The 15,384-nt window shown below is 44.8% G+C and overlaps 1 pseudogene across 1 annotated transcript, besides 4 other annotated features; it reads left to right on the top strand.

The window, feature by feature from the left end:
• Positions 277-1,476: an enhancer, noted in NCBI's record as "MED14-independent group 3 enhancer chr2:220548733-220549932 (GRCh37/hg19 assembly coordinates)". NCBI's record gives its function as "activates an origin of replication core promoter dependent on BRD2, BRD4, P300/CBP and CDK7 cofactors, and independent of MED14, by STARR-seq in HCT116 cells {active_cell/tissue: HCT116}" and the evidence as "EXISTENCE:reporter gene assay evidence [ECO:0000049][PMID:35650434]".
• DNAJB6P3 (DNAJB6 pseudogene 3) lies at positions 454-1,581 on the top strand (annotated as a pseudogene). The gene is made up of 2 exons (XR_007088093.1): positions 454-754; positions 887-1,581. The product of XR_007088093.1 is annotated as a DNAJB6 pseudogene 3 (transcript).
• Positions 506-800: an enhancer, noted in NCBI's record as "tiled region #8386; HepG2 Activating non-DNase unmatched - State 4:PromP". NCBI's record gives its function as "activates a minimal TATA promoter and a strong SV40 promoter by Sharpr-MPRA in HepG2 cells {active_cell/tissue: HepG2}" and the evidence as "EXISTENCE:reporter gene assay evidence [ECO:0000049][PMID:27701403]".
• Positions 577-1,140: an enhancer, noted in NCBI's record as "H3K27ac hESC enhancer chr2:220549069-220549632 (GRCh37/hg19 assembly coordinates)". NCBI's record gives its function as "activates a minimal SCP1, AML or CMV promoter by ChIP-STARR-seq in primed H9 embryonic stem cells {active_cell/tissue: H9 hESC(primed)}" and the evidence as "EXISTENCE:reporter gene assay evidence [ECO:0000049][PMID:30033119]".
• Positions 12,402-12,902: an enhancer, noted in NCBI's record as "H3K4me1 hESC enhancer chr2:220537307-220537807 (GRCh37/hg19 assembly coordinates)". NCBI's record gives its function as "activates a minimal SCP1, AML or CMV promoter by ChIP-STARR-seq in naive H9 embryonic stem cells {active_cell/tissue: H9 hESC(naive)}" and the evidence as "EXISTENCE:reporter gene assay evidence [ECO:0000049][PMID:30033119]".

Here is a 15,384-nt window from a genome sequence, read left to right as displayed (position 1 = left end):
GCTAAAAACGGGGTCCTTGTCACATAGCCAGGAGAGATTAGGCTCACAGGCACTTTGAAGGGTGAGAAAAATTGAATTTATTGGGCAAAGAGGAAAAAAAGGAAATAGGAACTCCCAACAAAGTGAAAGTCCTACTAGCTGGCTTCCTGCCTCACAGATTGAATCCCCAGGGTACCAACCCAGAACAGGAGAGGCCAAGCTCCTCCCCACTGCAAATAGTGCGAGCTTCCGTGGCTCCACCCTCCTCCCAGTGCGTAGGTGGATCCGAGCCGCTCCGGCGAGCCCTGACTACCTGTCTGTCTCAGCTGCACCTAAATTACCTGCTTATAGAAGACTGTGGTTTAGTCTACCCAGGATGCTTTACCCACTGTCTTCTCCTGACCCTTTGGGGAACTCACCCTCACTCTTTGTGGCCCCTTGAGGCTATCAAACACTTGGTGACGTTTCAGGTGGAGACCCTGCCCACACTTGTGATTCAGAGGTCCCCAGATCTCTCTGTCTGTGGTGAATTGATCGGGAATCAGCCAACCCAGGCCAATGGTGATCTTGTCAAGGCCAGATACATGGATAAGAGGCGAAAGAGAAAGGAGAGCACAAGGGGCTGCCACCGCCACCACCAGCACAGTGTGCGGGAGCCCAGAGGAGACCTGGGCTGTCTCCCTGCCTCCTCTTTCCAGCAATCTGCTAAAACAGGGTGGATTACCAAGAAGTTCCAGGCATGCAGAGACATGCCTCACCTGAGGACATTAAAAAGGCATATTGGAAACTGGCCCTGAATTGGCACCCAGAAAAAAAAAATACCCTGAGAGGAAAGAAGCAGAGAGAAAATTCAAACAAGTGACTGAGCCATATGAGGTGCTACCAGATGCTTTTTTTAAAAAAAAAGACATCCACAGCAAAAAAAAAAAAGTGACAATTACAGCCAAGAAGTATTAAATGAGGGAGGTAGGAGATAGAAGTCATTTTGTCAGTCCGTGTGAGCTTGGCTTCACATTCCATAACCCAGGTGATGTCTTCAGGGAACTATTTGGTGGAAGGGACCCATTTTCATTCAACTCCTTTGAAGATTCATTTGAGGACTTTTTTGGGAATTGGAGGGGATCCCCGAGGAAGCAGAGGCCGAGGGATGTGGTCATTTTTCTCTGCCTTCACTGGATTTCCATCTTTTGGAAGTGGATTTTCTTCTTTTGATACAGGATTTATTTCAATCAGGTCACTAGGTCACAGGGGCCTCACTTCATTCTCTTCCATGTCATTTGGTGGTAGTGGGATGGGCAACTTCAAATTGATATCAACTTCTACTAAAATGGTTAACAGCAGAAAAACCACAACAAAGAGAATTGTCAAGAAAGAGTAGAAGTTGAAGATGACAGCCAGTTAAATGATGGCCAGTTAAATAAAGTCTTTAACAATACATGGTGAGGGGCAGGCAGCAGCTGAGCTTGGATAACAAGCAATTCAATGCACACATTTAACAGAAATGTTCAACTACAACAAGCACCATTTGAAGATTAACAGGAACAATTTTTTGACGATTTCAAACAAACTTGCCTTTCAGTATAGTTGCACCTAATCTAAAGTATTTAAAAACAGCTCATCAGAGCCCCTATTTGTCATAGACTTTTGAGTTTATTTGAGACTGTATTAGTCCGTTTTCATGCTACTGATAAAGACTTACCTGAGACTGGGCAATTTACAAAAGAAAGAAAAAAAAGAGGTTTAATTGGACTTACAGTTCCATGTGGCTGAGGAAGCCTCACAATCATGGTGGAAGTCAAGGAGGAGCAAGTCACATCTTACATGGAAGGTAGGCAAAGAGAGAGAGAGCTTGTGCAGGGAGACCCCTGTTTTTAAAACCATCAGATCTCATGAGTTCCATTCACTATCACAAGAACAGCACAGGAAAGACCTGCCCTCATGATTCAATCATCTCCCAGCAGGTCCCTCCCACAACATGTGGGAATTATGGGAGCTAAAAGATGAGATTTCGGTGGGGACACAGAGCCAAACCATAACAGAGACCATTTTTTTTTGGTCTTTAAAATTGTTGTAAATCTCTGTTTGCACTTTGCTTTTTTATTAAACTTACTCCAAGGTGAGCCTTGACTCTTTAGTGGTAGGACAAGATCATACACTGATACCAGCATGGACCTGCTTTTCCGTTGTGTCTGAAATGTGAGTCAAGTAGTATCAGCCTGCTATGACATTAACATTGCCAGGATGAATCTCTTACAGAAATCATTTCGATTTTATTCGGTATTTAGTAGTGAAAGATATTCATGCTTTAATGGTAATACTTTCTGATTTAATACACATTAAGGATGTTTTTCAATTGTGCATGAATGCTGATGACTTCGTTTTGACAATTGTTTATGTATGTCATGTTAAGCTTAGGTTTAAAAAAGTAAAGCCAGTAAACTGGGTCTTTATTATTTGCTTTAAAAAACGAAAATAAATGTGAATGCGTTTGATGCATTAAAAACAAACAAAAAAGAAGTCCAACCTTCTCGTTCCACACACGTTCCTAAGCTGGAAGAATGTGGGTCTGACACGACTACTGGTCATCCTATCTGCTGCTCAAAGGCAGCTCTTCAAGGACAAAGGCAGAAAGAAGAGCTGAAAAGGCAACAAACTCCCAACGATAAAATGTATGTTCTTGGATACAAACATGTCTGAAGTGAGTCCAGCCTTGGGCTTCCCAATCACACGAGTATTTGTTGTTCACTCAGGCTTGGGTTTCATTTCTGCAACCTGCTCACCTCTTTTCCCCAGCGGTTCTTGCTTCCCACATCAGCCTCTGCCCACGCCATGGCTTACTCTCCTCCCATCTCTACATATTTAACCCTGAAGTCTTTTAAGTCTCCACTCAAATGCCACGACCTCCCCCATGAAGTCTTTCCTTACCTCTCCTGTGCCAACTCCCCTGTCCCACCTGGACAGCCCCCTGACACTTAATCTGTACTTTTCCGTGTCTGTATCAGGATTACATTGAGCCTCAGGGCACACAAAACTACAGAAGCTTAGATAAATAGGGATTTCTTTTCCTCACATAAGAGGTCGTCTCATGGAAGGCAGCTGCCAACTTTGCTTTGGGGGCCTGACAATATCAGGGACAGCATCTCCACAGTGGCCTTTATCTGGTACAGTCCCCAGATGGACTTGGAAGACCCAGTTCCTAGCCCCTTCCTTTCTGCATGTAGTTCTCAGGATAACTTTAGAATGTGCTGGAATGCAACATCCTGAGATAGGACTGCCTGAAAGAGCTTGGCTCTTTTCCTGTTTCTCCTGGGGAATGTAAGATCTTGAGTTAGAGGGAACTGTTCAGGACAGCCCACACTTTGTTCCTCTCTTCCCTGGAAGTAGGATGTCCTTCCGAGCTTTGCTCGGTGAGTCATGGAGCCCCTGAGGCTTTTAACTGGAAATGAGCTATCTTTTAGGGGCCCTCAGCTGCCATGAAAGTAGGGCACAAGCAGTGGAAACTCCATCCACCCTGGGCAGCTTTCTTGAACACATTCACACTCCTTAGGGGACTGGCTCACAGTGGCTCCCAGTCTTCTTTGTCCCTTGCTGACTATTGCTGAGTAATAAATCCATTTCCTGTAACTTGTTGCATGTGAGTCTGTTCTATCTCACGGGACTCAGGCAATTGGTAAAACTACAGCCCGCAATGCAATGGGCAGAAGTGTTCAGAATCCTAGTCATGGTGGTTGGCATAGTGATAGTCTTTGCCGTCCTCCAAGCACTGGGGGTCCTCTCTTGTGACTGGTTATTGGTGAACCCGTTTCTCAGCCTCACGGTTGCAAGATGGCTGCCACACATCCAGGCATCATATTTGCTTTCCAGGCAAGAATAAAGGAGAAGTAGGAGGACCAGTTGCTTCCTCCTTTTTAATCCGGAGAACAGAAGTTTTCCTGGAACCCACTAGCAGACTTCCACTTAAAATTCATGACCCCAAACCACATCATCACTGACTAGTTGCAACAGAGGGCAGGAAATGAGGATTTAAGTCCCCTAGAGTAGACAAGGAAAATAAGAAGGAGATAGGGAACGGCTATTAGGTCAGCCTAAGAATAGTCACTGCCCTGCTTGCTCAAGGCCCTGGTCACAGTTGTATCTTTTATTACAGTTTTTTGCTTACTAAAATCTGAGCTCCCTCTGGGAAGGGGCTGAGTTCTCAATCACTACACCCTTCAGAGAGCCCAGCACATGAGACTTTGATAAATCTATGCCTGGTGACTGTGGCGCTGCTACTTGCTCATGTTCATGGGGCCTCCTGGCAGTTTGAGCAGATTGTGGCTGCAGTGGGGTAATTAAATGTGCATCCTTCTTTGATCTCTAAGCTCTCCTGTTTGAAATTCATCTGAAAGGAGTGGAAAGATACTGGGGATGTGGACTCCCCTGCCTTGTCTAATCATCCAGAAAGGGTTAAACCATTTCTATTTCAGGTCTCTTGTGATCAAGAAAGCTCTGCTGGCAGGAGTGCCTATTTGGTGCCTTAAAGGCAACCAATTGTGGGAATTCAGAATTAGCTCTCACCCTGACTATTCTCTCGATATAGTTAGAATAAAAGCAGCAGTGACATTGCCAATGACCCAGATGTTGGAGAACCTTGGATTAAGCCACAGAGGCCCTTGCCTCCAAATCCTATAATATTGCATTAACACAGACTCAACCTGCAGAATTGGATTTAAATCCAGCCCTCGAATGCTCACCCTACTCCAGCCGCTTCCCCACACCTAATCTCATTTTCTCCTCAGAGTGCTGAAAATAATGGTAATGTAGTTGCCGTGGAAAGTGACTGTGTGAGCATATTTTACATCAGAAAGACTCTTAATAAAGTAAAAATGCTTTAAATGCAGAAGTCTCTCCCTTTACATCCCTCCTTCCTGGATAATAAATGATTTGTTACAGTTTCAAACTTCCATGGCCTGCTGGGTACAGGGGCTGGAGACAGCCAAGCAGCCCTCTCCTGGGCACAAGGTGCTCATGTGTGCTGGGATGTTGGGTCCAGACCTACATGAAACACAAGACAGGGACAGCTTTATGGCCAGAGGCTCTCCTCCACCTTCACTCATGCATGTCAACAGAATAATAATAATAATAATAATAATAATAATAATAATAATAATGGCAGTTACCATTTGTTGAGTACTTATGACATGTTAAGAGCAGTTCACACATTGTCTCATTCAATTTCCTCAACCTACCTAGAGGCTGGGCGCTATCATTGTCCCCATTTTACAGATGAGGAAACTGAGGCTCAAAGAGGTCAAGTCACTTACAGGATCACACAGATAGTGGGTAGGAGAGCTGGGACTCATGCCCATGAAAGCCCCCATGCTGCCTGGTCCACCTCCATGTTGGAGTAGGGCAGTGGTTCTCAGTCAGGGGTGGTGGGATACAACCACCTGGCAAGTTTTAGGGACCCCACTCAGACAATTAAATCTTAACCTCTGGGTACAGGGCCAGTGCTTGCCGAGACTTTAAGCTCTCAGCCGCATTCTGGTGCTGTGGTCTGAATCCTTGTGTCTCTCAAAATTCCTGTGTTGAAACCTAATCCCCAGTGTGATGGTTTTACAAGGTGGGGCCTTTGGAAGGTGATTAGGTCATGAGGGCAGAGCCTTCTTGAATGGAACTAGTACCCTCATGAAAGAGGCTCCAGAGAGCTCCTCCACCCCTTGTACCATGTGAGGACACAGCGAGAAGGCACCATCTATGATCCAGAAGGTGAGTCCTCACCAGATACAAATCTGCCTTGTTCTTGGACTTCCCAGCCTTCAGAACAGTGAGAAATCAATTCCTGTTGTTTATAAGCTACCAAGTCTATGGTATTTTGTTATAGCAGCCCTAAGGGACAAAGGCATCCAGGTAAAGTGGAAAAGACACCTTCCCTGGAGTCAGGCCTCTGGAGTGGCATTCTGGCTCTGAGCCTCACTAGCTGCCCTGCCCACTTCCCAAGGTGTTTGCAAACATCCTGTGAGGCTCAGTGATATATGACAACACAGACAGGCCCGGGACCCGGGCAGCAAAGTACAAAACCAGCTCTAAGAAGTGCACCCAGGAGCCATGATTCTGTGATTCATCCTTTCACCATTGATTTTCTTTATTCATTCAATAAGCATTCACTAAGCACTTATTATGTCCAAGGCTTTCAGCTAGAGAGGGAGGAAGACAGAATTCCTTCCATCCACAGGAATTATCTTGCCATTCCCTGCCCTCAATCCATTTATGATCTAACTGAGGAGAGCAGCTGGCGTAAGAAAAATGACCACATCCGCATGTACATCAAGTGCCAGATGAGTGGCACAGCCAGGAGGGCTTTAAGGGTTCTAAGAGGGAGTGATCTCCAAAGTCAAGGAACTTCATATGAGGGGAGGGTTAGGGCAGGGCTTTGGAATGCCAGCATAGCCTTCCCGCTGGGCAGTAGAACCTACCTACATGCTCCCACTGATCCAGGGAAACCCTTCCTATCCTAGGTCAGTTCTGGCCCGAGCAGGGCTCCTGGTAGCTGGTCCTGGAGTCTGCAACTTGGTGCCCACCATGGCAGGAGGGCAGGATGGTGGAGAGAAAGAGCAAATCAGGTTCTCTTTGGCAGTTGGGTGACAGCAGGACAGCAGGCATCTCCTGCCCCATCAGAACACCTCGGCAGACTTGAAGACTGGTTTTCTCAGCTGATAAACCAAGGCAATAGTACCTTTGCACAGCGCCAATGGGAAGATCAACCATTACAATGACGGTCAGCTCCACCACCATTGATGGAGCCCTCTCCAAGGGCCGAACACAGTGCTCACCATGTCATTCACTTTAGAATCTCAGGGAATCCTCCCAACAATGATGGGAAGGGCACCATTATTATACCCTGTTATCCAGAGAAGGAAACCGATTCTCAGAGAGGTTAAGCAATTTTCTCAAGGTCATATAACTAATGAATAACACAGCTGGCTCAAACTCAGACCTGTCTGATTCTAAAGCCCACCCCCCATACCATGACACACCATACAACAAGAGTTTGTAACCTGGAGTCCATGGATAGGATTTAGGTGTCTTTGAACTTAGATGGGGAAACAACGATACCAGAATTACATCTCTATTCAGTGGCATATGGGGGTGAGGAAGACAAGCAATGGGAACCTTTGGCCCCCTGCAGGGATGTATTTTGTCACTGACAATCTTTTTTGTTGTTTTTTTTTTTTTTTTTTTTTTTTGTGGAGTTTCACTCTTGTTGCCCGATCTTGTTGAATCTCCGCCTCCTGGGTTCAAGTGATTCTCCTGTCTCAGCCTCCTAAGTAGCTGGGATTACAGGCATGCGCCACCACACCCAGCTAATTTTGTATTTTTAGTGCAGACGGGGTTTCTCCATGATGGTCAGGCTGGTCTCGAACTCCCAACCTCAGGTGATCCGCCAGCCTCCATCTCCCAAAGTGCTGGAATTACAGGCATAAGCCCCTGCGCCTGGCCACTGACAATCTTGAAAGCCAATGGTACATAGTGATAATAAAATCAAGACTGGCCAGATGTGGTGGATCACACCTGTAATCCCAGCACTTTCAAAGGCTAAGCAGAAGGATCACTTGAGCCCAGGAGTTTGAAACCAGCCTGGGCAACATGGTGAAACCCTGTCTCTACAAAAATTACAAAAATTAGCTAGGCATGGTCGCATGTGCCTGTAGTTCCAGCTACTCGGAAGGCTGAGGTGGGAAGGTCACTTAAGCCTGAGAGGCTGAGGTTGCAGCGAGCCGAGATTGCACCATTGCACTCCAGCCTAGGTGACAAAGTGAGACTCTGTCTCAAAAAAATAAAAAATAAAAGACGGCAAGACCAACTTCAATTTTTTCATTGTTTTTAAATTTATTACAAACCATGGACCCCTTTCTGCCTGCATTAACCTCTAATTAAAATTTAGCATTTCTCTCAATTAGAATGTAGGCACTCACATGGAGGTATTAACATACCTGTGACTTTGTCACCAACAGAACCACAGATATTTCATGTCACACTACAGTTGTTGCAGTGTCTAAAATATATAGTTTATACTCATAACTACTTCAATATTAGGGTGATTATAAAACTATTGCTAGGTTTTATTATTTAATGGGCTAATACAAAAGATAAACTGTTACTACATTCACAAATTTGATTTTGTTTGGTTTTTTAGTGTTTGGACAGCCATATTACAATATGATCAGCTTCCTTTATAATCTTATGTATTATAAAAAGAGGTCCCTGGCCAGGCTCGGTGGCTCACGCCTGTAATCCCAGCACTTTGGGAGGCCAAGGCAGGCGGATCACAAGGTCAGGAGTTCAATACCAGCCTGGCCAAGATGGTGAAACCCCGTCTCTACTAAAAATATTAAAAAAATAGCCGGGCATGGGAGCAGGCGCCTGTAATCCCAGCTACTCAGGAAGCTGAGGCAGAGAATTGCTTGAACCCAGGAGGCAGAGGTTGCAGAAAGCCAAGATCACACCACTGCACTCCAGCCTGGGCGACAAAGTGAGACTCTGTCTCAAAAAAAAAAAAGAGGTCCCTAAACTCCAACAGACAGACACACACAGAAAATGAAGAGTACCTGCTACCCACTCTCTTAGATAAGAGTGCTATATAAATGCTGGAAATATTATAATCTTTGTACTATTTTACTTTACATGTTTGTGGCTCTTGAGAGAATGGACTGAGTCATATAGTTCTTCCTTTCCTCCACAAGCCTTTAGAAAGCATAATCACTCAACCACTACTTATTGATTCCCTGGCTGGCAGAAATCCCTCAAGCTTCCGTAAACTCAGTATCACACTCAGTGACCAGGAGATAAACAATATGGCAGGAGGAAGAAAGGTATTGAGATCAAACCTTCCAGATGGTTGGCAAACCCTGTGCATGGGGTGCTGGAACTTGCTTCTTAGAGAATAAATACATCTGTAGAGAAAAAGGTCCATTGGAATTTTCCATCAAGGCTGATAGGGTACGGCAGAGTGCCCAAATGTCATGGGAAGCGAAGCAGACTCCAAGCTGGGAAAACGCTCCTGGACAAGATGGCATCGTTTTTATATGCATTAGAAGCCCTTACGAAATAATATCAGATGTCCCGGGATCCCAGTTCCCTGCAAAGAACCCCACTCTACCCAGAACATCACACAACTCCTGACTCTCTGGCACTAGAAAGCTGAAGGGGGTTCTGGGACCCTCGGTTATAGCTGACATCAAGAGACTCTGACTGTTTCCGTCATCTTTGTTGTATCCCCAAGACTTTGTGACAGAAAACAACCACCATTTTATTTTGTTCCTAATTCCTGTGGGGATTCAGGTACAGTGGGGATGGTTCTTCTCTTCTCCACGATGTCTGGGGCTTCCAAGGTGGCTTCTGCACTCACAGGTCTAGTGCCTGGGCTGGGATGGCCTAAGGACTAGCCAGAACACCTATACATGGCCTCTCCACGTGGATTCGGCTTTTCACAACATGGCAGTTGAGTTAGAGAGAAGGCTTTCTGAGAAGGGGTCTCTAGAAAGCAAACACTATCAGAGCACCAAGGGGAAGCCACATGGCCTTTTCAGTCTTAGCCCTTCCACCATACTCTATTGGCCAAAGCAGAATCAAGAGGAAAGGTCATAGACTCCATCCCAGATAGGAAAAGTGCCAAAGAATCTAGGAGCTATGTTTTACAACCACCACACTGGCCAAGTGAATTCCTTGCTTCCAAGCTTAGAGATAATATCTAGAGTCCCCAGGGGGCTAAACATGGACTGGTCTCTAACTTGGGTGGGAGAAGAGCAGGTGCTGGGGACTCCAGCAAACTCCTCACAGTTGATTCTCAAGAGTGTGTTTGCCCTGCCCCAAGAGAGATGCCCAGAGGAGGCTCAGCCCACAGGCAGCCCTTCACAAATGAAAAGAACCCTCTTGTCACTATTACCCACCACCCCACCTTAACTGCTATTCCTCCTGAACATCTTTTCCCCTCCAAATTACCCTCCAGCAAAAAACCTGCTCCCACAAAGCACGCTGTGCATGCCAGTGTGTCTCATTGTTCCTCTATTAAGACACATCATTCACAAACACTACGCTTCTTAAAAGATACCCTCAGCTGTCACTTACATAACAGAACTTGGCAAAAACAGATGGAGCATGCCAGCGGTGTCTTTGCCTGGGGCAGTATATGCTAATATCTTGGCACAGGCACCTTGAGCTGCTTTTTTTTCCCAGCAAAGTTCCATCAGCTGGAAAGTTCGAAGGGGAGAGCAAGATCATAGAAAAGTCAGTAGAGGAAGCTGTTCCTTTTTTACCTTTGGAAAATAAAACTACCTTTTCATCAATCAAATAGTGGGAAAAATCTGTAGAGCTACTCCCCAAAACTCAGGAGAAAGGAGGAAGCTTGATGCTACCTAAAGAAAGGTATGACACACAAAAAGAAGGGACATTCGACCCAGGATGTAGGAGAAAAGGGCATTTCGGAGAGAAGGAATGACAGGCACAAAGATGGGGAGGCAGGAATGTGCCTGACTTGTTCCCAGAGCATTGAAATAGCTGGTCTACCTAGAGTGGAGGGTTTGGGCTTGGGAGTTGTAGGGGCCATTTATTATTTCGCCTTCCCAGAACAACACCCCCGCTTCATTTGGGAAAGAGCTCTACTTCCATTTGGTTCTCTATAGCCCTGGCTGGGCTAATCCTAGAGACTGATCCCTTTGACATCAGTAATTGGCCCAGGGATAGGCAAACGACCAGGCCAATCTGAGCCCATTCCAGCCCAACTGGAGTGAGTGGGAAGAGCTCTTTTCTCTCTGCTCTCAAGAGGAGGGGCAGGAGAATGCACAGGGCTAAAAGCCCAAGCTCTTCAATCAGAGTTGACTCCAGATCCCAAAGTTCTTTACCAGCTTTGTGAACTTGGGAAGGGTCCTCACTGAGGCTCCATTTCTTCATCTGTAAAATGGGGATAACAAGACCCACCTCATAGGTTCATGTCATGGATTAAATGAGATAAGCAATTCAGGTGCTTAGAATTAAGATGGCAGCCCCAGAGCTGCCCACACCGTGGTACCAACTTTAGGGTACTGGCCAGCCTGAGAGTTAAGTCAGTCCTCAAAGGAAGCAGGGATGAGAGTAAGTTAAGCAACAACCCAGGCTTCCTGCAGCTTGGTGATAGGAGTCAATGAATTTGCCTTTTCCAAATGTAAGCTGGCTTGAGTTTGATTTCTGTTCATGGCACCTAATAGTGCTTGAGTTGTATTTTTTAATGCAAAAATATACTTAGAAATACATCCACAGTGTATTTCTCTAATTATAAAATCCATCCATTGAAATAATCCTAGAGTTTTGTAACCATTCCTTTCTTGGTTTTCCTTTCCCTAAAATCAACTTGCTAAGCTCCCAAGACTACAAGTCAAGCTGGAGGAAGCACCAGGAAGGAGGAGGGACGATGGGACAGGGATATGAGTTGTGGACGTGGAGGAGAGGATTAAACAGTCCACCAGCCTTGTGGACCCCCAATTCTAAGGATCCTCTGAGCCCCTGACCTTCACTCCCCAGAACCAGTGAGAGCCCAGGTCAGAACTCAGGTTCAATATCCCAAATCATAAACAAAATCAGAGAAGCAGAATTCTCAGAAGAAACCAAATGGAAAACCCAAGAAGACAGGAAATGTCCATGTTCAGCACTGAAACTCACCATTGCCATGGGAGAATAAAAGTCATAAACATAACAGAGAAGATAATATTATAATTATTTGCAACTAGTTTTGACTCTACACCTGGAAAACCAAAGAGAATAGAGTTAAAACAAAAACAAAAACAAAACTGTTAAAATCAATAGGATAATTCGATAAGATGGCTAGCTATAAAAATGTATGTATGAGAGTCAATAGCTTGCTACATACACACAACTGATTGGAAAATAAAATGAAAGAAAAAAATCCCATTTAAAAAGCCGCAATCAGCTGGGAGCTGTGGCTCACACCTGTAATCCCAGCACTTTGGGAGGCTGAGGTGGGCGGATCACCTGAGGTCAGGAGTTCAAGACCAGCCTGGCCAACATGACAAAACCCTGTCTCTACTAAAAATACAAAAATTAGCTGGGCGTGGTGGCAGACACCTGTAATCCCAGCTACTCGAAAAGCTGAGGCACGAGAATCGCTTGAACACAGGAGGTGGAGGATGCAGTGAGCAAAGATCGCACCACTGCACTCCAGCCTGGGCAACAAAGCAAGACACTGTCTCAAAAAAAAAAGGTAGCAATTCAAAAAAGTAAAAACAAACAAAAAGGCTACATACAGATACACCTAATAAGAAATGTACGGAATCTACATGAAGAAAAAATGTTTAATTTTTTTTTTTCTCCTAGACAGGGTCTTACTTTATTGCCCAGGCTGGAATGCAGAGGCATGATCTCAGCTCACTGCAGCCTTTACTACCCAGGCTCAAGTGATCCTCCCACCTCAGCCTCCTGCATAGCTAGGACTATACTATATGTGCATGCCACCATGCCCAGGTAATTTTTGTATTTTTTGGTTTTGCCATGTTGCCCAGGCTGGTCTCGAACTCCTGGGCTCAAGCAATTCACCCACCTCTGCCTCCCAAAGTGCTGGGATTACAGGTGTGTGCCACCACACCCAGCAGAAACATTTTTAAATTCTAATGAGGACCTTATATAAATTTTTAAAGACCAGCAAATGATAAGGCAGAATGGGAGAATAGACATACAGTACTGGAGAATAGAGATCAGAGGAATCAGATAAAAGAGAAGCATGGAAGAGAGGCAGAAAGACAAAACCTGTCATTTTTCTTGGGCCAGTGAGAGTGGGGGGGCTTCAGGTGCTTTCCCAGAGGACCCATGGTCTGGGCGCTAGTGGGGAGGAACTGACCTGCATGGCCACCATGAATCCCTTAGGCACCCCTCCTCCCCTGGGGTCATGTTGCACTCCAGGCCGCCAAAATTTAGGGGCAGACTGGAGACTGAGTAAGCCAGCCAAGGTGGCCACTGGGCGGCAGAGACATTGCTGTTGGCAAAAGCAGCACTCCATCCCAGCTGATGAAAATCAGAACCCCCATCTCAGATCCCAATTTACAGAGCATTTGCACTTTCATGAGCCTATATCTTGCTCACAACTTCCCTGAGAGAGAAGAAATCCAGGGCAAATATCCCTGTGCCTAGCTTCCTGAAGATCAACTTGGATTTTGTATTAGTCCATTCCCACACTGCTATAAAAAACTACCTGAAACTGGGTAATTTATAAAGAAAAGAGGTTTAATTGACTCACAGTTCCGCCTGGCTAGGGAGGCCCCAGAAAACTTACAATCATGGAGGAAGGCAAAGGGGAAGCAGGCACCTTTTTCACAAGGCGGCAGGAGAGACAGAGCAAGCGGGGAAGTGCCACACTTTTAAACCATCAAATCTCATAAGAACTTACTCACTATCACGAGAACAGCATGGGGAAAATCTGCCCCCATGATCCAATCACCTCCCTGATCAAGTACCTCCCCCTGACAAGTGGGGATTACAATTCGAGATGAGATTTGGGTGCGGACACAGCAAAACCACATCAGATACCCGGGTCACATGTGGGTCCTTGGGTGGCAGACCTTTTCAAAGGAATAATTTTAAGGTTTTCAAGTGTATACATCCTGCTTGAATATCAAATTGGTTTTTTAAAAATTGTATTTCAGTAGCATTAGGGGTACAAGTGGTTTTGGATTACATGGGTGAATCATATTCAAGTTGTTTTAAATGAGAGCAGGACAAGAATTAGAATCTTGCAATCCATGGCAGTTCTTTCTCCACAACACTCAGTAGATACCTTGATATATGCATACTCGTTTGTTTGATATGAAACATATGAGGGGAAGATAGGAGAGGAATCTCTCATTCTGATTCAGTTGCCTGAAAATCCTTGCCTTAGCTCATTCCTTTGAGCCGAAGGTATTGAAGCCCTCCTTTAAAATGCAAATATCATCTAGGAAGAGTGACACATAAATCATTGTCTTTCATTAGTCCCACAGACCAGAGCACTTTATCAATCACTAATTTTTCTCCATGCTACTCAAGAGAACGCTAACGTGGAACGTGTCTAGACTCACTGAGTGGGGTGGGGTTGCAGCTGGCAGGACACCTGTGTTCTGGCCTCTGTGTTTTCACTCTCGAAACAAGGAGGGATGGATTTGATGATCTTTGAAATCCTGAGGCTCAATGCCCCCCACTATAGCCTGAATGTGTCCTTGCAAAATTCATAGGTTGAAAGCTAATCAACGATGTGATGTGTTAAGACATGGGGCCTGTTTAGGGGGTGATTAAGCTCTCATGGGTGGGATTAGTGGCCTTATAAAAGAGGTATAAGGAAGCTGTTCACCCCTTCTGTTGATCTCAGATCTCTCAACCTCCGGAACTGTGAAAAATAAATTTCTGTTGTTTATAGATTACGCATCCCAAAGAATCTTGTCATAGCAACCCAAGTGGATGAAGAGACCCCCACATCCATCGGAGGGTGAACTCTAACTCATACATGTGTCTTGGGGATGCCGGCACAATAAAGTCTCGCCTCGTCCCATCTCTGTTTGGCATTTGAATCCAAATCTCTTTGTTCTGTTAGGCAACTGTTTGGGGCTTTTTATTCATTTGACAGGTGGATCTTTTTGAAGTTCTCATTTAAAATAATTTGATATTCAAGCTGTATGTGTGTGGTTGAAAGTCATAAAATTATTCATCTGAAAGACCTCTCCTTTTCTCTCAGATACCAACTGAAGTTTGCAGCAGTTCCCCCGAGCAAAGCTCGCTGCCTAGAAAGCTCTTTTTCAGCAACGCTCTGCCATCATCACTAAATTGAGTTATTCCAACAGCCTTTGATGCTCTGTTTTTTTTCCTAAGTGTGCATATGAAAGCTGAACAGCAACATAATTTAATTCTTCAAGATTTACTTTTTAATCACCAGGGTGATTCTTGTGGGGTACAGAGAGTTGACCCCGTTTTCTCAAGTTGAAATTGATTTAGGTCAAACAATTCTTGGAATTTGAATTAGATATTTTTCTCCTTATCGGCATGAACTTCAAGCTTCATTTTCCAACAGCTGGAAACATCTGTGCTACCCATGAATTACAGACGATTTGAGAAAACTAAATGTGGGCAAAGAAGATATTCACAACTCACAGAATTCTATCGGCAGAATTCTTCATAATGAGCTGAATTGGTGTTGAAGTACAATTGTGTTAGGTGTCTGAGTTCCTTTTATGAAAGAAAAATGAGACAATTACCAAGGACTAAGAATGCAATCAAAATAATACAACCATTTTACTGTTGAATAAGAAATCTTTCTATAAACACTATGGCATATTATTCCAGAATAAAAATATTTACCAGGAGGGGATTCTACTGAGAATTGTACCATGGAAAGTTAAGAGGCTTCTTCCCCCT

This window comes from Homo sapiens, chromosome 2 (assembly GCF_000001405.40).
Source record: "Homo sapiens chromosome 2, GRCh38.p14 Primary Assembly".
Lineage (NCBI taxonomy): Eukaryota > Metazoa > Chordata > Mammalia > Primates > Hominidae > Homo > Homo sapiens.
This window is presented reverse-complemented; position numbering and strand designations above follow the sequence as displayed.